The 24,511-nt window shown below is 44.3% G+C and overlaps 1 protein-coding gene across 6 annotated transcripts in view, besides 1 other annotated feature; it reads left to right on the plus strand.

Annotated features, from left to right (window-relative positions):
• Nucleotides 1-24,511, plus strand: part of DMRT1 (doublesex and mab-3 related transcription factor 1) — a 127,394-nt gene that overhangs the window by 26,932 nt on the left and 75,951 nt on the right. The window lies entirely within an intron of this gene.
• Nucleotides 12,339-12,408: a silencer, noted in NCBI's record as "silent region_19726". NCBI's record gives its function as "represses an Ori minimal core promoter by ATAC-STARR-seq in GM12878 lymphoblastoid cells {active_cell/tissue: GM12878}" and the evidence as "EXISTENCE:reporter gene assay evidence [ECO:0000049][PMID:35858748]".

Below are 24,511 nucleotides of genomic sequence, written 5' to 3' on the forward strand. Positions count from 1 at the left end.
GGTTATCGTAGGTAGCGTTTGAAAGAATATACATAAAATGTTGTTTATGAATTGCAGAGTATACTTAAATGAAAAATGTTAAGTTTAAAAGTTAGCATCGGCTGGGCACGTTGGCTCATGCCTATAATCCCAGCACTTTGGAAGGCCAAGGCAGGTAGATGGCTTGAGCCCAGGAGTTTGAGATCAGCCTGGGCAACATGGTGAAGCCCCATTCCTACAAAAAATAAAAAAATTAGCTGGGTATGGTGGCACACACCTGTGGTCTCAGCTACTTGGGAGATGCAGGTGGGAGGATCACCTGAGCCTGGGGAGGTTGAGGCTGGAGTGAACCATGATCGTGCCACCTCACTCCAGCCTGGGTGACAGAGTGAGACACTATCTGAAAAAATAATAATAATAAAAATAAAAGTTAGCATCCTTTATATTAGCAGCTTTTTTCTTAGTGCAGCTTCTCTTGGTAAAACTCTGATATAGTTTAGGGATGGTTGAGGCTTCTGAGGAAGTTGACATCCAAAGGACCTTGTTAGATTTTTATCCGGGGGCGGAACAGAAAGTACTAAGTGAATTTCAAGGATATTCTACTAAGGCCACAGCTTTTGCCTCTTCCTCCCCTTTCCCTATGGTGACATGCAATGGAGACCATGCCAGATCTTAAAGGTGGATGGCATAGAAATAAAAATGTGGCTCAAGGCATTGGCATGTTCATCTACACTTGCATTGTGAATACAAAGGTGTACTCATCTGCACCTTTCCATTTGCCAGTTCTCCTAGCTGTTCTCCGTAGGAATTACCTTCCCTTTGGAATTGTGTACCTTTTAAAATTCAGAACTTTTTGAATTTCCGTCTCCGGGTCATTGCTCCTAGTTGTTGTCTCTAGTGAATTCTTCTCTAAAGTATCCCTAGATTACTTTTACTGTAAACTGTAATGATTTGACTCTGGCCATATTTCTCCCAAGGTCTCCTATCTCGGTTACTTGTAAGGCTACTCCTCCCCTCTCTTGTTCTCTTTGATCTTTTATAATTGGCTTAAAGCTCTCTATATTTAATCTGCAGTGACTTTGTTTCTCCTCCCTATTTTGGCTTTTTCAATCCCCGAGAATTTAATAATCTGTTTCTCATTATTTTCTATTTTTTCTTAAGGTGTCGCATTCTCTGTCGCACAGTTAATAGTCTTTTCTCCTCTTCTCCCCATTTGGTTTATATTAGCTATTAATGCAAGTCTGCATTGTGTCTCTATTTTGGCTTGTAATAAAGTCCTGTGTATTCTGTGGAGTTGGTGGGCGTCCTAGTTACAGACTTGGCTGAACCTGAAGACCCCTGCGCGTGTATATGGTAATGTTGTAAAAATACGGCCCTGGAGATAAACAGTTGAGCACCCAGTTTGTATTGAACGAATAAGTTTCTTAAGTTTTTGAGAGCTTTCTCTTAGAAGTTGACCTTTTGGGGGCAAATTACTGTGACTATTCAACATGTAAGAAAGAATAGCTTGCCGGGCGCGGTGGCTCACGCCTGTAATCGCAATACTTTGGGAGGCTGAGGCAGGTGGATCACCTGAGGTCAGGAGTTTGGGACCAGCCTGGGTAACACGGTGAAACCCCGTTTCTACTAAAAATACAAAAAATTAGCTGGGCGTGGTGACGTGCACCTGTAATCCCAGCTACTCGGGAGGCTGAGGCAAGAGAATCGCTTGAACCTGGGAGGCGGAGGTTGCAGTGAGCCGAGATCATGCCGCTGCACTCCAGCTTGGACAACAAGAATGAAACTCTGTCTCAAAAAACAACAACAATAACAACAACAACATAGCTCTGGTCGCCATCCTGTGGCCTGTGGTTGACCTTTTGATGAGTCCGTCCCGTGACAGCATCCGTCATAATTTTTTCACTAAGCTTAGCTCTTCAGCTGTGAAATCCTTTTAGCCACAGCATTGTAGTCTCTTCTCAGAAGGTTAAGCTTTCTGATACTTTTTTAGTCTGTCACTTTTCTGGTCTCTGTTGGGTCCAAGAAAGAACCCCTGGTGAGTCTAAAGGCTTTGCTTATTTTGTTCTTTAAGCTTAGGTTCCCATATTTCTCATTTTCTTGACTTTTTTTTTTTTTTTTTTTTGAGACAGGGTCTTACTCCATTGCCCACGCTGGAGTGCAGTGGTGTGATCATGGCTCACTGCACCCTCTAGTCCTGGGGCTCAGGTGATTCTCCAACCTCAGCCTCCCGAGTAGCTGGAACTACAGGTGCACACCGCCAAGTGTGGCTAATTTTTTTTGTGTGTATGTAGAAACAGGGTTTCTCCATGTTGCCCAGGCTGGTTTTAAACTCCTGGGCTCAGCTGATCCTCCTGACACCCAAAGTGCGGGGATTACAGTTGTGAGCCATTGTGCCCATACATTCAAGCCTTTTAAAACTGTATTATTGGGTTTCAGGGGGTCTTTGAACCCAAGGTCTGGCTCTGTTGCCCAGGCTGGAGTGCAATGGGGCAATCATGGGCACATTGCAACCTTCGCCTTCTGGGCTCAAGCCATCATCCTACCTCAGCCTGAGTAGCTGGGACTACAGGCGTGTGCACCACCATGCCCGGCTAATTTTTTGTAGAGACGGGGTTTTGCCACGTTGCCCAGGCTAGTCTTGAATTATTGAGCTCGAGCAATTCTCCACCTTGGCCTCCCAAAGTGCTGGGATTACAGGCATGAACCGGTAGCCCGGCTGGTCTTTGAACTCTTTTTTTTTTTTGAGACTGAGTCTTGCCCTGTCACCCAGGCTGGAGTGCAGTGGCACAATCTCGGCTCACTGCAAGCTCCGCGTCCCGGGTTCACGCCATTCTCCTGCCTCAGCCTCCAGAGTAGCTGGGACTACAGGCATGCGCCACCACGCCCGGCTAATTTTTTTTTTTTTTTTTTTTTTTGGTAGAGACGGGGTTTCACCGTGTTAGCCAGGATGGTCTCGATCTCCTGACCTCGTGATCCGCCCGCCTCTGCCTCCCAAAGTGCTGGGATTACAGACGCGAGCCACCGCGCCGGCTAACTTTTTGTATTTTTAGTAGAGACGGGGTTTCACCGTGTTAGCCAGGATGGTCTCAATCTCCTGACCTCGTGATTCGCCCGCCTCGGCCTCCCAAAGTGCTGGGATTACAGGCGTGAGCAACCGTGCCTGGCCGGCCTAGTCTTTGAACTCTTAAAGCTGCATTTCTTTTGGAAGATGGCCCAGCATTTTTGTCTGATTCTTCAAGGAGTCTGTGACCTAAAAAGTATTAAGAACCACTGCTTTGAGTTTAAAACGATGGCCCTTTTCCAACAACTACCATTTCTTGTTATATTTTCTTCATCTCTCTATATACCTATTTACATTTTTCTATTGATTTCTGAGTAAATAGGAAGCAGACTTTATATTATTTGAGACCCTTCTAAAAATAACTTACTGAGGTATAATTTACATGCCATAAAACTCACCATCTTTTTTTTTGTGATGGCATCTCACTCTGTCACCCAGGCTGGAGTGCAGTGGCTTGATTTCGGCTCACTGCAACCTCTGCCTCCCAGGTTCAAGGGATTCTCCTGCCTGAGCCTCCCGAGTAGCTGGGATTACAGGCGCCCGCCACCATGCCAGGCTAATTTTTTGTATTTTTAGTAGAGATAGGGTTTCACCATGTTGGCCAGGCTGGTCTCGAACTCCTGACCTTGTGATCCACCCGCCTTGGCCTCCCAAAGTGCTGGGATTACAGGCGTGAGCCAGTGCGCCCGGCCAAAACTCACTATCTTAAGGTGATGTTTAATATATTCACAGAGTTGGGTAAACATCACCACTATCAAATTTTAAAACATTCTCATACCATCTCCAAAAAACTCATACCCATTACTGGTTACTGGGTTTCTTCCCCCAGCCTCTGGTAACCACTAGCCTACTTTCTATCTGTATAGGTTTGCCTATTCCAGACATTTCATGTAAATGGAATCATACACTGTGGGATTATTTGTGTCTGACTTCTTCCACTTAGCATGTTTTTGAGGTTCATCCGTGTTGTAGCATGTTTCAGGACATCAGGACTTCTTTTTATTACTTATCAGTATTTTATTGTATGAATATACAACATTTCGTTTACTCATCAGTTAATGGAAAACATTTTATGTTCAAATTTTTGTGTAAATATATGTATTCTCTTGTGTATTTACTTCAAAGCGGACTTGGTGGTTCATGTGGTGGGTCTGTGTTTAACATTTTGGGGGACTGCTAAGGTTTTTCAAAAGCGGGTGCACCGTTTTACATTTCCAGCAGTGTGACATACATTTACACAAAAATTTGTTCATCTGGGCCAGCTGATTGGACGATGTCCCCCCACATTAAAGGCAGATCTTCTCTACTCTGTTCATGGATTCACATGCCAGTGTCTTTCGGAAACACTCACAGACACACCCCAGAAATAATCCTTGAGCAGTTTGCTAGGTAACCTTTAACCCAGTCAAGGTGACATCTAAAATTAACCATCACACCATCCTAGTGAGCACGAAGTGGTATTATTTGTGGTTCTGATTTGCAGTTTGCTGATGGCTAATGACGTTGTGCATCTTCTCATGCACTTTGTGCCATTTTTGTCTGTCTTCTTTAGAGAAAATGGTTATTCAAGTCCTTTGCCCATTTGTAAGTTTTTTTTGTTTGTTTTTTTAAGTTTGAATTGTAAAACACATTTCTATAAGCATTTTTTTTTTTTGAGATGGAGTTTTGCGCTTGTTGCCCAGGCTGGAGTGCAGTGGCGCAATCTTGGCTCACCATAACCTCCACCTCCCGGGTTCAAGTGATTCTCCTGCCTCAGACTCCTGAGTAGCTGGGATTACAGGTGCCTGCCACCACGCCCAGCTAATTTTTTGTATTTTCTTTTTTTTTTTTAGTAGAGATGGGGTTTCATCTTGTTGGCCAGGCTGGTCTCGAACTCCCGACCTCAGGTGATCCACCCGCCTTGGCCTCCCAAAATGTTGGGATTACAGGCGTGATCCACCGCGCCCAGCCTCTATAGACATTTAATGTTCTTAGGTTATCGCTAGGTCTTGTGAATGAGTGAAATAAAGGAAGGGAAACCCTTTAGCTAGGCAGTGGCAAAGGTGAGGTGAAAGGCAGTGGAAAGGTGTTTTAATAACTGGGGGAATGGCCTTCTAATACCTTTTAAGTATTGTATTGTCCATTTGGAGAGACTAAGGCTAAAGATGACCTGCAGGGAGAGAACAGACAATGCATAGATTTGGAAGTGAGAAAAAGAAAAGAAGAGAAAAAGTTCACCTTCTAGTACTCCCCCCAAAATTCAATTAGTAGGGGAAAAGAAATATAGGAAGTGGGCATATTTAACTTGGAAGTGGAAAGTACCTAAAAGCTCTCAAGGAAATAAATTATTCCTACAGAGTATGGTGACCATGTATTTTGTATTTCTCTTAAGATTAAACGAGGAAACAAATTTAAAATGTAGTCCTTTTGGTAAGTGAGATTTTAGCATTGGCATGGTGCTCTCTCAGCTTTGAATAGGGGGTAGAATCTCTTTTCTCCTCATGTGTATGATTCTCTTTGAAGGTAATGAATGAGTCAACAATACCTCTTGAAATTTTTTCCCAGTCTTGAGATTCTATTAAATCATTTTGTTTTGTTTTTTGAGATGGTGTAAGTTTTGATTCATGGATCAGAATATCAGGATCATTTGAATAGTTCTCAGAAAAATCATAGCGCCTTCATCTAATATTTATACAGTTGAGATATAGATTGGGTCCCTTTTTGTATCTAGATCTAGTTCTTGCTTTGTTTCCCCTTCATTGTCATTTTCAGCCCTTTATTTGTTTCTGAACTTGTATATAAGTTTATTTTACACAATCTTAATATATACAGCAAATGTGTATGAGGCACACACAAGCCTTAAATACATGTCTGTGCATGCTATGTTAGATATTCTTGTTAATGATGGCAACTGCCATAAACTCCCTGCTCCTAGTTAGAAAAAGGGCCATGATGCCTGAAAGGAATTTGGAACAAAGCAGTACCCCTTTCTTCAAATCTTGATGCCTTAATTTCTTGAGTGAAATTTAGGTATGCATCCTCTCTGTGGACACAAAAGGAACTTCCTTCTTGGCTGTCTTGGCCTTCCTTCCTCTCTTCTTGGGACTTGTCATAACCCTGTATTAAAAACAATAACAACAACAACAAGTTAATCTTTTTTTTTTTTTTTTTTTTTTTTGAGATGGAGTCTCGCTCTGTCACCCCAGCTGGAGTGCAGTGGCGCTATCTCACTTCACTGCAAGCTCCACCTCCCGGGTTCATGCCATTCTCTTGCCTCAGCCTCTTGAGTAGCTGGGACTACGGGTGCCCGCCACCACGCCCGGCAAATTTTTTGTATTTTTTTTAGTAGAGACGGGGTTTCACTATGTTAGCCAGGATGGTCTGAATCTCTTGACCTTGTGATCCACCCACCTCAGCCTCCCAAAGTGCTGGGATTACAGGCGTGAGCCACCGCGCCCGGCCAACACTTAATCTTAAAACCTGTATGTTTGTAGGAGTATGTGCTTGTCGTTCTGATAATGGCCCTTCCCTCATTGTAAATTTTAAAAAACATGTCTTTATTCTCTTACTCTTAAAACCAGTATTGTTTCCGTGGTGGAATAAACCTTGAGAATTGTGGGTGAGGCTAGTGGTTGACGCAGTTACAGATGATACCAGGTGCTGCCCACAGACTTTGCAAACTCACTTTCCACAGATAGGGCTCCCAGACCTGGGCCCGACAGCTTTAGAGTCTTTGTCCTTCCCTGACACAGGCCGGACCCTCCCCACAGAGATTTTCCTAGGTTCTGCATCTATTTTGATTACTGTCACATAGTTTTTGATACTTGAGAGGTATCAAGACCTTGTGAGGTAAAATTTCAGAAAGCATGTTAGGTTTCTGGTGATCCAGATGTACAAATTCTGTACAATGAAGATCACCAAATGAGGAAAATGAAAATATATGGATGATGGTGTGACTATAGTTGTGGGCCAGTTAGATAGCTTCTGTCATGCTGTTTGTGTCTTGGTTGCCATAGAGACATTTTAGCTAACAAGCCCAGCATGGCTCTTTGTAGTCATTTCTTTCAGTTCAGATTTGATTTTCTTTTCAGGTAAGATTTTGAGACACGTGCATGTGTGTGTATGTATGTATGTATGTGTACGTATGTGTGTGTGCATATATAGTGTATGTACACACACATATATATTTACGCTCATATCCCAAGTTACCAGAGCCTTCAGGGCTTTTGAACTGCTGGAAAATAGCTGCGTCCGGTGTTTAAAAGCCAGAAGCCCCTGTCTCTGGCCAAAAAGAGGTGCCACATGTGATTGGCAGAGCTGTGTCACCTGCCTGGCTGGGAACTCGAGTTCCCGCCCCTACACTGGGGATGCTGGAGTTGACACAGTATGGCATGCTTTGCTGCACCCTTTTATCCCTGTGGTTAGTGGTAGATTTGGTGGAGCAGTTAGCCCTAGGGACACAATTGAGAGCTGGGTGACAGGTCTTCTTACCTGGTTCCGAGTAGCTTGTGTATATCCTTTGAGAACAGCACAACATAGTTAGGTTAGCAGCAGCTGGCAGTGAGGCTGCAGTTTCCAAGTACAGAGCTGAACAAGAAGCCAGAATTTAGAGGGAGCTGCTTCCAGGATAAGGTAGAAGAGCCACAAGTCAGGGGCTTTGGGCCAGTGGGAAGTGACCTGGGGCCAAATCATGACTCTCAGCCACTGCCTTACCTGACATTCCCTGCTGAAAAGGGGAAAAGGCCTAGACCATCACAGTCTGTCTTTGGAGCTTAAGAACTTGACCTCTTTGCTTGACACACTCCCATGTGAGTGCTTAAAGTTAGTAGTCATTTATATTCTTTTCCAGGAAACTGCTAGGTTGACTCCTCGTCAATAGGCTTTTTTTTTTTTAATCTATTGAGACAGAGTCTTGCCCTATCATCCAGTCTGGAGTGCAGTGGTGAAATCATAGCTGACTACAACCCCCACCTCCTGAGCTCAAGTGATCCTTCCCCACTCAGCCTCCTGAGTAGCTGGGTCTATAGGCTCGTGCCACTATGCCCAGCTATTTTAAAATGTTTTGTAGAGATGGGGTCTCGCCATGTTGCTCAGGTTGGTCTGGAACTTCTGACCTCAAGCAATCCTCCCGCCTTGGCCTCTTGAAGTGCTGAGATTACAGGCATGACCACTGTGCCCAGGTAACAGGTGTCTGAGAATGTCTATCAGCCAGACTCCACGGCTCCCTTTTCCCCTTCTGACACGGCATGGTAGACAAGTGTGAGGTCTCAGAAGAGGCTGCCTCAGCCATGGTCCCACTTCCAGTTACATGTGTGTCCTCAGACTTGCTCAGAAGAGGCTGCCTCAGCCATGGTCCCACTTCCAGTTACATGTGTGTCCTCAGACTTGCCACTTGAACCTCTCTGGGTGTAGAAACAAGGGATGAAATTACCTCCAAGGACTTCTCTGTGGTCACATTCTGTGAAAGGCTATTGGATTTAATTCTCTGTGGTTCACCTTCCCTGACTTTGGTAAAAATGATGGTTGAAAGAATGGATGAATTTTTATTTGTAGAATCACCTTCTTTTAATGTCAAAGAAGCTTTATTCCAAAGGAATAAAAAAATTGAGTGGTCTCGTTCCCAGGATATACATACACTCTGCTGAACAGGTTTTGAACCGTGTAATACCTTAGAGGTATGTCTCACCCCCCTGGAGGGTGCAGTAAGGGTTCTGAAGGAGGCGATGGTAGAGGAGACAAAGAAATGCCAGCAAGTGGCTAAGCATTTGGTGGGCACATGTATGGCCAGCAACCCTGTTTGCACCTTTTCTTTCCCTGCTATTTATGTTGAAAAGCAAGCTAAATGTAAAGCTGCACTTTTTGATGTAGCACTAGATGTCAATTCTAGCATTAATATTTTGAATCCATAGGGAATCTGCACATCTCATTTCAGTCACTAATTTGAACAGAACTCCTCCTCCCATTCCAAAAAAAGAAGCTAAATATGGAATTGTATATATTGAATTTAAGATGTAAAGTTTCTCTGTGTCTCTGTTCACTTTCCCAGTAGCAGTCTTTAAAAAGCACGATACAATTAAACAGCAGAATCAAAGCAAAGGGAGTATAAAGGGCTCCAGATAATTCCCAGTTTGGGTTATCAGCTCCCACACAATGGAGAGTTGATTATTTTTCCTTTATTTTAGGGAAGGTAAAAGTCCATGGAGGTGAGAAAAGTACACCTGGAAGAGATCTGAAATATTCCTGATTCTGGATAAGTGTGCCTGTACAATGACCCATGGTTGGCTTTGGAATATACCATTAAAGTACTGGAGGTCAGAAAAGCTTCCTTCACAAATTTGGTTAGGTGGAGCAGGTTGCTAAAACATCCAGCAACCCTGGAGGTCATAGACCACGCTAGGAGAAATAATTATGCATGGTAATGGGCAATTACAGATAATGGCCTTCCGGGGGTGGCAGAAAATACACAGCCCCACAGCCTTGCCTGGAATGAACATTGAATAGCACATTAACTTTATAGCAAGCTAAAAGTTCAGCCCTGGAACTGCAGCTGCTGCCCCCCCCCCACCCAATAAAAATGTCTGCCTGTCTTAAGGTAATCACAGGAGTGGCTGCACTTCTCAAAAGCAGAGTCGAATAAAGGAGGAGATGGGACTGTGGGAGACAGACTTTGGAAAAGGGAAGGAATGGTGCACTCTACTCCACTGGGTTGCATTTGCCTCACTAAGTAGAGGTGGTGGCTTGCAGGAGGTGCACAGTAAGCAGTTGTTGCTTTCCTGGCGCCAGGTTTGTGTTTGACGTTTAAAATAGCCCTGTCATGATTGCCTTGTGGGAGAAACACATTGTTCCCGCATTTCCTGATTATGACTTTAGGGAGTAATATCACACCAAACGCACTCAAGGCTACTGTCTGACCTCAGAGAAGGCCAGGAGTGGAAGATTCCAAGTTCAGCTGAGCTTGGGAAGCCTGGCCAGGTGCAGCCCAGCCCTCCTGCAGTACCCTAATGATGAGGATTTGGAGCAAGGATAACTTTGTGCGGAGTTATTTGGTGGCTCTCTTGCTTGATGGCAGAAAACGTTATGGCCGTGTTGTGATTGTGATAACAATAATAGCTAACATTTATTGAGCACTCAACACGTGGCAGAGCCTTTCTAAGTACATGTCTTCTCTCATATAATTCTCAAGTAGTAGTAGTATTTCTTTGCTACGTGCAAAGGCTGGGACATGCAAAACGTATATAACTTGCCCCATGATTGCATGGCATTAGATTTCAGATCCGATCAATTACTTTTGCTTGGGACCAGTGCTCTCAACCTGAAGTTGTGCTGCCTGGCCATATTGTGTCATTCTTAATGCCTGTTTCATGGAAAGAAATATTTCAGACATAAGGATAAAGCCAGAGCTGCCTGGTTAGGACTTTATTGCTGTCTACTAATAACACAACCCTGAGAGCCAGCTCAGAATAAGATGCCAGGCTCTAATTCTCTCAAATCAGTCCCCCTAAAAAGACAGGGGCTGTTAAGATGGAAGTTCTCAAACTTTTTACTTGCAGAATCTCTCTACAACCTTAAAAAGTATTGAGGACCTCAAGAGCTTTTATTTATGTGGGTTATATCTATCGATACCATACTGGAAACTAAAATTGAGAAATGAAAAAAAAATTATGCTTTTAAAATAATAAACTCATTACCTCTTAGCATACGTAACATACTTCAATAAAAATTACTACATTTTGCAAATTAAAAAAAAACAAGAGAGTGGCATTGTTTCACATTTTTGCAAATCTCTTTTACGTTTGGCTTAATAGGATGTAGGTGGGTTTGCATAGCTGCTGCTTCAGGTAGGCTGTTGTTCTAATGGAAATACAGGAAGAAAATTCAGCTTCACGTAGATAGTTAGAAGAGGGGTAGAAGTATTTTAATAGCCTTTTACATCATTGTCACTATTCTTTGATACTAGACCAAAACTTGACAAGTGGTAATTGCTTAAAGATTAGTTGTGATGTGGAAACCAAAACCATGCTAACGAACATTTTGTACTCTGTTTCATTAAAATCTATTCATCTGTCTCAGACTTGGCTTCCAAGATCAGACTAGATCTGCTGGTGCGTTCAAGGTGGTATGGCCATAGACTCTCTTATACTTTGGATGGCTCTTTCATCCGTGTATGACTTTATAACATTATGCATTGGTCATTTGGGAAATACTACTTCAGTAAGTTATGTACAACTTCCAAATGTTGACACATTTTATTACAAAATACCAGAAAATCACATTCATTAATACTACTGCTGATCTTGTTAGAATAATCTTCAAGTTTGGAAGCTGTCATCCACATAGTGGGGGGCCATAAATTTTCTAAAATTCTAATTTTTACTTGAAAACTCAAATTTCGGCAATAAATACTGTCAGTTGTTTTCCTTGAAGTGACAGGCTCACTTAGTTCATTTTCAAGAGAATGCCGCCAAATATCTGAGTTTCAGTAATTGTAGTTTGTCATCAGTCACTCTTCCAGGATATGGTGTTCCTTTAAGAAAAAGCAGTGAGTGTAGCTCTTCAACAGTTGCACAAATGTCCTTTTTCCTTTGGTGTGCAGAAAGGCTGTGTGAGTCCTTCCCATTGAGTCACACAGTTTTTAAAAAGACGTGTACTCTGAGGTACAGATTTGATCAAGTTACTCTTTCTTTCTGCTTCATCAAGGGTGTCTTTAGCAAAATCAACATAACATTTTTTTAAAGTTTTAACATTTTCCTTCATAGCGATGAGGAATATGCGAGCATTAGTATACTTGGGTAGCTTGGGCTGGGCGTGGTGGCTTACACCTGTAATCCCAGCACTTTGGGAGGCTGAGGTGGGCGGATCACCTGAGGTCAGGAGTTCGAGACCAGCCTGGCCAATATGGTGAATCCCTGTCTCTACTAAAAATACAAAATTGCCTGGGCATGGTGGCGCATGCCTGTAATCCCAGCCATTCAGGAGGCTGAGGCAGGAGAATTGCTTGAACCTGGGAGGCAGAGGTTGCAGTGAGCTGAGATTGTGTCATTGCACTCCAACCTGGGCAACCAGCAAAACTCAGTCTCAAAAAAAAAAAAAAAAAAAGAAAAGAAAAGGAAAAAAAGTATACTTGGGTAGTTTGCCATGTGCTAAGGACCAGCGGCCTTCCCCACCCTTGCCGCTGCATCATCAGTGCCCGTCACCACAGCAAAAAAGGCAAATTACATCTTTATGTTATTGCAAAAATACTTCTGACCTCTTGGGCCCTCAGAAGGAAGTTGTAGGCGAGGACCTCCAACCACATTTTGACAGCTGCTGCGATAAGATGTAAGGGTGTGATTTCTTGACATCAAAGCACCAAGCTTGAATGGGTTTAAAGCAGTTCTCAACTTGCTCTGCCTGGGTCCCATTGCGGGAGGCTGTCACGCAAAGTGGTCTGGGGTGTGGCCTGATCATGGGGAATTCTATAGACCCCCCCCACCTCCTCCTCCTGTGCAGCCAGGTTTGAAAACTTCTGGTTTAGAGGCAGGTTCTAAAACATTCTTGGTAGGGAGGGGGCTCTCCAGTCCTGTACAATTGGATAAGTCACTGTTCATGACAGCCAGGAAAATTTACAAGACAAATGCCTGATTGAAAATTGGCGATAATAAATTGAACTAGGTATAATCTTGAGTTGAACGGAAGCTATGTGAAACAATATGGTGAGGTATAATTCGGTTTCTTAATTGTATACATTTATGTAGAGGTCCACTTACTCCTTCACATCACTTTCTGGGGCCTGCAGGGACAAAGACAAAACATCTATGATCTTACTAGTAAAAGAAAGTCATAAAAGCAGGATCTGAATCCTATATCTACATGGAGCTGACCATGAGCAAACTTAAACATGTATCTTTGCTACCTTCTGTCCAGCTCCCTACATGCTCTAGAGAGAAAGACCCTGATAAATTAGGCTTCTCCATTTTAAGTTGTTTGATTACAGTTGAGAGCAGATCTTTTCTGTGGAGACCTAAATACATGTACACAGTCAGTCAAACAAGTTCCTAATTTAAAACATCCTCAGTGTACGAAATATTTAAAAGGTTCAAGAAGGGATTCTCTGTAAGACGGCTTTTAGAATGTAGCCTTGATGGATAGGAACTGTGTTGGGAATCATCCCTTTCTTCTTCTCCACCCCCAAACTCAAGCTTTCCCATTGGCCTGTTTGTGGCACAACCTGCTCCTCCAATCCGCTGGGAGGTGTTGATAGAGTCCCAAACTGTCTCTGGTATCTTGCCAATGGTAGGACATTCTGAATTGGCCTAAAGAGAGAAATCTCTGTCTTGGCCGTGAGACAGGCTTTCATGGCCATGAGACATTGCCTTGGAGGGTCAGAGAAATGGCATTTCCTCCAAATCTGACTCTCATTGTAGGATTAACAGTTTTCCTCGGTGACTTGGGGGAATTCTGAGGCACAGGCAGAGGTGTGGAAGAAGGAGGAAGCTGCAGAGAGCAGGAATCAGGGCAGGGAGAGGCAGAAACCCCTGCAGGTGGAAGTGGGATCCTCCTAACTTTAGCATGCCACTGTGCGTTACATGCCAGCCTTTTCAGGCCCAATTAAGTTTCTCTGGGGGTGTGAAGGGGGATCCCAAATTGCATACCACTGTGCCAGGAGCACCCCCATTCTCCTCCTGCAGTGGACCCTGTGCTCTACCTGCTCTGCAGGCTCTTCTCTTAACCTTACTTGTGCCTCGAAGCTCTTGTTGTGTGTCTCCTCTCTTTCCTTGACTTGGAAGTCCTTTCTTATCCTTTATACATCCAGAATGTTCTCTTGCTTAAAGGTGTCTTCTGGGAAACCTTTTCCAGTCCTTTACATTCTCCTTTGCACTGTTAATCACCTGAGCTCCTCCAGGCCAGGGTTTTGCATTCTTCTCAGCCAACACTTTGGGAGTTGCTGCACACAATGGATGGGCTTTGACACTCTGGGCTTTTCAGTAGCCCCAGGGCAGCCTGTTTCAAATCAAGACCTGCTCACCTTGAAGGCCTGTGTTTGCTCAGCCTCATGTTTGTATTTTCCCGTCATCTTCCTGCTTGATTTCTTTGATCTGGTTGTGCTCAGTGGCGCCCCCGTCTCCCCTGAATCTTTTTTTTTTTTTTTTTTTGTCTGTCTGAGACAGTCTCACTCACTCTGTTGCCCAGGCTGGAGTACAGTGGCATGATCTCGGCTCACTGCCACCTCTGCCTCTCAGGTTCAAGTGATTCTTCTGCCTCAGCCTCCCCAGTAGCTGGGATTACAGGTGCCTGCCACCATGCCCGGCTAATTTTTGTATTTTTAGTAGAGACGGGGTTTCACCATGTTGGCCAGGCTGGTTTCGAACTCCTGGCCTCCAGTGATCCTCCCGCCTCGGCCTCTCAAAGTGCTGGGATTACAGGCATGAGCCACCAAGCCTGCCCACCCCACCCTTTTCACTCTTTCACTCTTTCCAGATTCCATACGCATAGCCTGCCATCTGTCCCACATTGACGCTGCACTCCCCTTTGAACCAAGCCCGCTCCTATCTTTAAAAGCCAACTTCAGGTTCACTTTGCTATGAAAAGAGTTCACACCAAGAAAAAAAAAAGGAGCTGACATTCCTTCACAACCAAATTACGTTAAAAAGATAAGACAAAAATCTCTTCCTGGGAGAAAGGAGAAATAGGCTCTACCACATTCCGTGTCTTGTGCTACAGGAGCGACACTAGTGAGCCAACATCAGGGGAACCTGTACTTTGAAGGTTGAGATGAATCCTCTCCCCTCAGTGAGGAGCATCCCAGTGCCATGAAATCAGTCATCATCGAATGACACAGCCTTTTAAAAAAATGCATTAACTCCCCCGACCCCCAAAAGGAGAGCCCGGGTGCAGCGACTCACACCTGTAATTCCAGCACTTTGGGAGGCTGAGGTGGGAGGATCACTGGAGACCAGAATTTGAGACCAGCCTGGGCAACATAGCCTGACCCTGTCTCTACAAAAAAAAAAAAAAAATTGCCGTGTATGGTGGCGTGCCCCTGTAGTCCCAGATACTTGGGAGGCAGAGACAGGAGGATCACTTGAGCCTAGCAGTTGGAGGCTGCCGTGAGCCATGATCACACCACTGCACTTCAGCCTGGGCGGAGCAAGACCTGTTTCTTAAAAAAAAAAAAAAAAATGGGGAAAACAACTTACGCTTTTGCTATACCCTCGTAGCGCTCAACACAAAGTATTAGTTGGTGATGGATAGTTTTCAGACTTACTGGTGAATAATTTTGCCTGACTGGTATGTAACTCTTAAAACTCAGAAGCTAAGTAGGACAAACACCATGCAAGATATGGGGTTACAAAGAGAAAATCTGGAGTATATAAATTAATCGTTTACATGACCTCATGTGAATCACAAGTAGTTTACTGTTTGTAAATGGTAAATTTGGTTTTGTGACCTTTTTTTACTTCATGCTGGAAACTGTGATGTTTGGTTTTTTCATGGAGGTGAGTGTGGATCCAGATTTGAACACAAAGGACTCAAAGTGCAACAACTTTGGGAATCATGACACCAGCAAAGAGGGGGGCAAGCCTTCACCCACCTTAAAATGAATTACTGGTTAACTACTATTAATATGTCATGGGCCCAGAGACCAGCATATAACACTCCACGATCAGTAAGGGTATTTATCATGTGCAGGTATTGATCCCTCATGAAGGAGTGAATCATATTTCACACTGCATGTTAGTGCAAAAAAAAAAAAAAAGTAGCAGAGGGATTGTGAAGCCCTATCAAAGAACTGAATGTGCAGAAAGTAAACGGGTGTAGCCATGAACATGAGTATTAGAATAAGAGGTGACTGAGCTCATAAGCAACATCTCTGCAGATGCATCTGAGGGGAGACAGTGAGCTCTGTTATGGTCTGTGGGACAAATGCTATTGGTAATTTTTCCAGATGTGTATTTCTTGAGTTCCTGATGCTTTTCTGAGTGGTTGGATCCAGTCCTTCTGATCTTTTGTTCTTATTGCACAAATTAGGAGTATATACCAATGGTAACACTTAAAACATCTGGCCAGGTGCGGTGGCTCACGCCTGTAATCCCAGCACTTTGGGAGGCCGAGGCAGGCAGATATTTGAGGTCAGGAGTTCGAGACCAGCCTGGCCAACATGGTGAAACCCCGTCTCTACTAAAAATAGAAAAATTAGCCAGGCACGGTGGTGCGCACCTGTAATCTCAGCTACTCGGGAGGCTGAGGCAGGAGAATCACTTGAACCCAAGAAGTGGAGGTTGCAGTCAGCCAAGATCACACCACTACACTCCAGCCTGGGCAACAGAGTGAGTGAGACTCGGTCTCAAACAAAAACAAAAACATCTAACTTCATATTTCCATTTGCATCATAACAGCAGATCTGAAATGGGAAAGGTCCTCTTGTCCCCGTTTTAGAGCGTGTGAAGGAGGCATGGCTTGCTTCTTCAGTGCCCCACTGCTCAAGCCTCTAGGGGAGCATACAGATGGGCAGGCCGTGGGGCTCCGACCCCATGGCAGTGTCTAGGGGTGAATGTTTACAGCTGAAGCCCCAGTGGGTGTGTGTTACAGGGTGCCTTTTAGTTTAGCTGTCTGTAGGTGGCTTGCGTTAGTCGGCTCAATTAGATCCTCTGCCTTATTGCAAGGATAGAGGGCTTTCTGTATCCCCTGGTTCTTGCCTTGGTGTACCAAAAGAATGAGATCACATGTGGGCTTGGAGAATGAGTGTAAGGTTTTACTGAGTGGAAGTAGCTCTCAGCAGATAGGGGAGTCAGAAAGGAGATGGTTTTCCCCTGGAGTCAGGCTGTCGAGCGGCCCGACTCTTCTCCTACTTCCCCAACCAAACGCAGCGTTGTTCTGCTGGTCAAATGGCCTAGGCCCATCAATGACCTGCCAGTGCCTATCAGTCTGCTCTCGACGTTGAGCTGCTTGCCTTCTTCCACCAATCTACTCGTCTCAATGCCCAGCCGCTTGTGTGTCTGCTCGCTAGGGTTTCAGGGGTTTTGTAGACACAGGATGGAGGCATGGTGGTCCAGGGTGGTCTTGGGAAATGCAACATTTAGGTGGGAAGGCAGAAGTGCCTGTCTTCAGCTAGTCCATGGGCACAGGCTTCTGCAGTGGAGCCTTCGCAAGGGACCACGCCCACCTCTACCCAGCACTTCCCTGCCCACTTCTGTATCAGATCTACAGGTTGATAATTCTGTAATGGACTGTAAGGGACTACTGGTTAAGAAAGCCAGCACATTCTCTTGGAAAGAGTGCTGCTAGCTTTCTGTTATTATTCATTATAACAACACAGCACATTCTCTTGAAAACAATGCTGCTAGCTTTCTGTTATTATTCATTAAGCAATTTTGGCCAATTATCATTCTAGAAAAATAGAGAGTGAGATCTAGCTTAAGAATTTTCAGCAGACTCATTAAAATGTTTCCCTTCAATATACTTCTGTGGTTGCTGTACTTAGTTGTATTGGCCATGCAGTTTTAAAAGTCCGTGTTACAGTGCACACAAGCCATGGAGACTGGCAGGAGTAATTCATACTCAGATCAAGGGACTTGATAAACATTGGTGCATTCAGCTCAGGTTCATGGAGCCAACTGTGTTTTTTTGTTTGTTTGTTTTTTATTTTTGAGCGGAGTCTCGCTCTGTCACCCAGGCTGCAGTGCAATGGTGCGATCTCGGCTCACTGCAACCTCCGCCTCCTGGGTTCAAGCGATTCTCCTGCCTCAGCCTTCTGAGTAGCTGGGACTACAGGCACGGGCCAGATACACGCCCGGCTAGTTTTTCTGTTTTTTGAGATGGGGTTTTGCCATGTTGGCCAGGTTGGTCCCAAACTCCTGACCTCAAGTGATCCACCCGCCGCAGCCTCCCAAAGTGTTGGGATTACACGCGTGAGCCACCGTGTACGGCCAAACTGTCACTTCTTACTGTGACTTTTTTTTTTCCTGTGGCTCAGAGTGGGAATGGATATGGTTGGGGGAGCTTATTAATTGTATGTGGAAAACCACTTTTTGAAAACTTTATGTATATATAAATATATACATATTTTAAATTTTGTATGATAAATTTGTGTGTTTTGTGGCGTATCAGTTGGAAATATTACTTTTAGGTTTATCATCAATTAATAGGGACACTTAGGCTGGCCTGCCATCTTTGCTGACACCCCAGTGTTGAAGCAAATATTGCTGGCTTCTCTCTGGGGAGTTTGCTGTAGCATGGGCTGGACAGATGGTAGGTATACTCTGCTTATGCTTATCCTCTGTCAGTCTGGGCAAGGAATCGGATATTCCTTCTGAAGCTGCTTATTCTATGATCACTCAGCAGTTGAACAAGCATCAAAAGGGAATCTGGATTGCTTTCCTGGTCTCTGGATGACAGATATTAACAATGTAATTTATTAGCTGGGCGTGGTGGCGGGAGCCTATAATCTCAGCTACTCCAGAGGCTGAGGCAGGAGAATCACTTGAACCTGGGAGGCGGAGGTTGCAGTGAGCCGAGATCAGGAGATCACGCCACTGCACTCCAGCCTGGGAAACAATGTGAGACTGTCTCTCAAACAAACAAACAATGTAACTTAGTTGTTTGGAGGGAATTCATAGAAAAGGAGATCTGCCAGTGATTTTCATGAAGTTCCTTCCTTTACTACGGCCTCCTTGTGCAAGCTTAAAGTGACTTCTTGCCTGGAGTATTTAAAGCACCTAGTCTATTCCCCCATCTCCTTATTCTCTTAGGTCTGTTTTTTGTGCTTTGACCAGATTCCCAAATATATTTCTGCTACTCCCTTGCTCTGAAAACCTTCATTGGTTCCCTAGAGGAGAACTTGTTGGCCTGGCATTCACATTCAGGGTCTTCAGCAATTAACTCCAGCATAACCTTCCATTCTCATTTGCAGTTGTCACTTGTGAACTCTGCAGTCCAGCCAGGCTCATCTGGTCACTGTGGCTGGAGCGCGTCTTGTCCTTTCTCTCCTTTGGGCCTCTGTTGACCTCCCTCATGACTCTATTGGTATTATTCTCCTTTTTTTGAGTGTTTACCCACTGTCTCTAAATCACCTCCACTCTGGCTCATCACTCACCGTGGCCTTTTCTGACACCTCTCTATATAGAACCATTTGGTGACATTATCTATACTGTCACTGCGGCACTTGGATTATTGCTTTGTAGATTTCCCAGTTTGCACCTAATTTCCCCAAATAGATGGCAAATTCTTAAGAAAAAATGTAATGTTTAAAGTATGTTTTTGTGCCTTTGACAACATTTAAAGAAAGCTTTGAACATAGTTGTTATATGATAACTAGTGAATGAATCAAATCTAAATATAAAAATACAACTTAAGGTCAAGAATAAATGATTTTTGTAACACCTGCTCCTCTGGATTACCCAGAAGTCTTCTGAAGAATATTAAATTTTGACTCTGCAATGTTTTGTATCTAACTGAATGCCTGACAAATAGTAGGTGCTTAATAAATATTTGTCAACTGGAATAAGCATTTGAATAGATGAATTAAGTTACTGTGGTTAGAATAAATGAAGAAAGTCTGGATGTAAGCCATGAAACTCACAACCATTTGGCAGCGATACACACACAGTACATACAGCTTGGGATCTAAGCTCTGAGTGATTTAGGTAGAAGCCTAGCTTTTCAATACAATGGAATTCTTTTTTTTTTTTTTTCCTTTTGAGACAGAGTCTTGCCCCTTTGCCCAGGCTGGAGTGCAGTGGTGCGATCTCGGCTCACTGCACCCTCTGCCTCCCAGGCTAAAGTGATTCTCCTTCCTCAGCCTCCCTTAGTGGCTGGGACTACAGGCATGCACCACCATGCCCAGCCAATTTTTATATGTTTTGTAGAGGGGTTTTGTTTGCCCAGGTTGGTCTCGAACTCCTGGGCTCAAGTGAACCTTGTACCTCGGCCTCCCAAAGTGCTGGGATTATAGCCAGGAGCCACTGTGCCTGACCTCATTTGTTGTATACTTTTATTTAATAGTCAGGACTGTCACAGCGATGCAGTCAGGGGCATGAAGGTATCTCATATTTTTAGGAATAGCGTGTGGAGCAGTTGTTAATAGTCAGGACTGTCACAGCGATGCAGTCAGGGGCATGAAGGTATCTCATATTTTTAGGAATAGCGTGTGGAGCAGTTGCTTTGAATTTTGAGAGTACAGCCGTGTGTCTCAACAGTTTTAGCACATCAGAATCTCCTGGGCTGGATGCAGTGGCTCACACCTATAATCCCAGCACTTTGGGAGGGTAAGGCAGGAGGATATCTTGAGCCCAGGAGTTTGAGACCAGCCTAGGCAACATGGTGAGACCCCATCTGTATTAAAAAAAAAAAAAAAGAATTTCTGGAGAGCTTAGTAAAATTCAGATTGCTGGGCGCCATTCTCGGGGTGTATGATTTTGTCAGTCTGTGGTGGGGCCCAAGAATTTGCATTTCTTTACGTTCCCAGGTAATGCTGATGCTACTGATTCAGGGACCACACTGTGCGAACCATTGGATTAGACACATGTAGCTTGACAGATATTAATTTCAACCTTTCCATGTACTAGCAGTGTTCATATAAATGCCAGGAGTTATGAAGCTGTTTTTAACACTGACTGAGAATTTTAATTGGGAATTTTAACATATAGAATTCGGTGGTTTATACACATAGTACTTTGTCAAATCTAACTTTTTTAAAGTGGTTAAACATTTTAACAGCGTAAAGGCAGACATCTGCTCTTCCAAAGTTCAAATGGTTTTATTATTTAAATATTGGTATGGAACAACTTTTCCAATACATATCTCCTATTTATTCTTAAAGCTTGGTATAACTTGAAAGAGGAAATAAAATACGGGTAAGTGGAAAAGTGATGGTGTTGTTAACTAATTACAGTCAGCTGTAACAAAACAAATTATTGCTTTGACCTGACGTAGCATTTTAGTTGAGGTTTACTATGCAGTTTATTGAAGCCATTCTCTTGTTACCTTCAGAGTTATTACTGCCATTATTTTGTTGCTTGATAAACTGAGGCCTGATAAAAGGTTCAGATTAAGGTCATGCTGCAGAAATTCAAGAACTTGTGCTGTGCCCTGATTCTGGAATGCTGGAATCCTTGGGTTTCTATTTATTCGTCTGCTACTGTATTTTGTTTTCTTTTTTAAGAAGCTTGCTTTTGAAAGGCAGGCCTTAAGTGGGAGGTATTCAGTGTTTTTAATGCAGGGACAGGCCTAAGTGTCTAAAATGCCTTCCTAAATGTCTGTGAGATTGTATAGGAATGAACCATTAATGTTTATGACTGCATGGTAGGATAGGTCATTTATTCTTTTTCTGACTTAGATGCTCATATAATTTATTAAATTTGAGAAGCTCATAAGGCTTTTGTAATCAGATAAACAATAGAGACATGACCTTGAAAACAAAAGAATGATATAGAAAACCACCACTTAACGCCACCAAACGTGTTTTTTTTTTTTTTTTTTTTTGAGCCGGAGTCTTGCTCTGTCACCCAGGCTGGAGTGCAGTGGCGTGATCTTGGCTCAGGCCGACTGAGCTGAGATCTCAGGCCGCCCGCCTCAGCCTCCCAAAGTGCTGGGATTACAGGCGTGAGCCACCGCACCCGGCCCAAACTGATGTTTAAAATAAGAGAAAGGCCCAGTGGGGAAGTTGAGGAGGAGCGAATGGACATGTGCCCTCTCCAGACTTGGGGGTGTGGAATAATGGCATTGGAATGTCTCATCTCATTAGCTGGGAAGAGGAGAGAAGAAAGGAAAGGAATAGAATAAAACAGTGGTTTGGGAGTGCATTTACAGGAGCCTAGCATAGGTGGATTTGGTTTCCTTTCAGAGAAAAGTGACACCAATGCTGACTTTAAAATGAGGCTTCAAAAATAAATTTTGTTGTAGATCTCAGCCAGACCTTCCAGAGCTTGCACTTTAGTTTTGCCCTCTCCCTTGCATGTTTTTGTTTTCCCACACACTCAGCCAGTGGATGGTTTCTGGGCACCTTCTTTGGGCCATGCATTGTGCTGGAAATTTCTCTCATGAGCCAATTCTGTCTGCTTAAGGACACTTAAACCTCTATTTATTTCTTTATTTTTATTTTTTTATTTGAGACAGAGTCTCATTCTGTCACCCAGGCTGGAGTGCAGTGACGCGATCTCTGCTCACTGCAACCTCGGCCTCCCAGGTTCAAGCAATTCTCCTGCCTCATCCTCTGCAGTAGCTGGGTCTACAGGTACGCACCACCATGCCGATGTCCGGCTAATTTTTTTTTGTATTTTTTTTTTAGTGGAGACGGGGTTTCACCATGTTGGTCAGGCTGGTCTCGAACTCCTGACCTCAAATGATCAGACCTACCTCAGCCTCCCAAAGTACTGGGATTACAGGCGTGAGCCACCGCGCTCAGCCTTAAACCTTTTTAGAAAAGTGAAACAAGGCCAGGTGTAGTGGCTCATGCCTGTAATCGTAGCACTTTGGGAGGACAAGGTGGTTTGATTGCTGGAGCTCAGGAGTTTGAGACCAGCCTGGGCAACATAGTGAGACCCCATCTCTATACAAAAAAATTAAAAAAAAAAAAAGCTAAGAGCTTATTAAAATTCAGATTGCTTGAGCTCAGGAGTTCGAGATCAGCCTGGCCAACATGGTGAAACCCCGTCTCTACTTAAAAAAAATACAAAAATCAGCCAGGCATGGTGGCTTGCGCCTGTATTCCCAATTACTTGGGCTGCTGAGGTGGGAGGATCGCTTGAGCCCAGAAGGAGGAAGTTGCAGTGAGCCGAGATCGTACCACTGCACTCCAGCCTGGGCGACAGAGTGAGACCCTGTCTCAAATAAGTAAATAAACAAAATAAAAGTGAAACGACAAGATCTTATGACTCCCTGGAGGTTTTACTTTTTTTTTTTTTTCTCCCAGACGGAGTCTTGCTCTGTCGCCCAGGCTGGAGTGCAGTGGCCCAATATCGTCTCACTCCAACCTCTGTCTCCCAGGTTCAAGCGATTCTCCTGCCTCAGCCTCCCAAGTAGCTGGGACTGCAAGCATACGCCACCACGCCTGGCTAATTTTTTTTTTTTTTTGGTATTTTTAGTAGAGACAGGGTTTCACCGTGTTAGCCAGGATAGTCTTGATCTCCTGACCTCGTGAATCACCTGCCTCGGCCTCCCAAAGTGCTGGGATTACAGGCGTGGGCCACCGTGCCTGGCTGGAGCTTTTACTTTTAACTCACATTATTTTTGATGCCAAGCTACTTGAAAAATGATTATTCCTCAGTCCCTTCAGCAAATATTGACCCACTGTGTCTGGCAGTGTGCTAAGCACGGAGGACACAGTGGTGTGCCCGGAGGCTGGGTGCCTTCTTGCTGGATCTCACGTCCTGGTAGTCCTGGTAGGAGAGAGGCCATTCACTGGAGTCATCTCTTTGGATTTCTTGTTGCTTGTTGCTCCTTGCTCTCTTGCAGGCCTGCATCTGCTCCTTTCATCATGGTTAAAACCGCAAGGCCCTGAAGACCTAGTTGTCTGTTGGTCTTTTCTAGAACTGTTTGCTTGATGTCCCAGCAGCAGTTGACACCACAGCCTGCTTGCTCTGTGATTCAAGTCAGCTTTAACCTCTGTGACGTTGTATTCTCTGTTTTTCACGCTCCAGGTCTTGGCTCTCCTTTATTCTGTAACAGCTCCTCCCTTCCTTGCCCAGATGGAGCTAGCACCTCCAGTGGTGACTCTTGGATCTGGCTTCCAGTCTCAGCCTCTCCCAAAAGCACGCGTTTCATGTTCCTCACCCTCACCCAGCCCTCCACCTGCACACCTGCCCACCCTCTGCTCTACACACCCAGGCTCCTGCTCTCTGCCTCCCCTGCATCTTAATTCCTGGCAGCCCCTCAGCCCTCCAGTTCTGTTGCGTTTCATCCCCCACATGTCCCTGGAACAGGCTCCTCTCTTACATTTGCAGGCCTTAGAGTTCTGGTCTGTCCTTGAACTCACTTTGGTGGTTCCCTAGCAGGTCTTTCTGCCTCTGATCTCTCTCTCCTTCACTTGCCCTAAGCAGTTGCCCTTAGATAAATCTCCTCCAAGCACAGCTCTGACCGTGTAACCTCCTTGCTCAGAACTCAGTGGTTCCCATTACATCCCAGAGTCAGGAGAGCTGGACTGAGGCCCGCCTCACCTTACCCTAGCCCATCTTTCATACTACATGTCTCCTTCCCTTTTCTCATCCAGTTCCTCAGCCTCACTTCCCTGCCCATCATTCCAAACTCTACCCCCACTTTCCTGCTTCCACTCCTTTGTCCTTGCTGCTCCTTTCTCCTTCCTCTCCTTTTCTCATTTTTCACCTGTGTCCTGCATCTTTTTTTAAGTGCAACTCAGGTGCAGTTTTGTCCATGAATTTCTAACTAGGCTACAAGCCATCTCTGTTTCCTCTGACTTCCCATGGAAGTTTATGGGTCTTCCTGTATGATGGTAGGTGGTAGGTGGTATTCCCTTCCCATCTTCTATCCTAGACCGTAGACTCCCTGTGGGCACGGCAG

This window comes from Homo sapiens, chromosome 9 (assembly GCF_000001405.40).
Source record: "Homo sapiens chromosome 9, GRCh38.p14 Primary Assembly".
In the NCBI taxonomy this organism is placed as follows: Eukaryota; Metazoa; Chordata; class Mammalia; order Primates; family Hominidae; genus Homo; species Homo sapiens.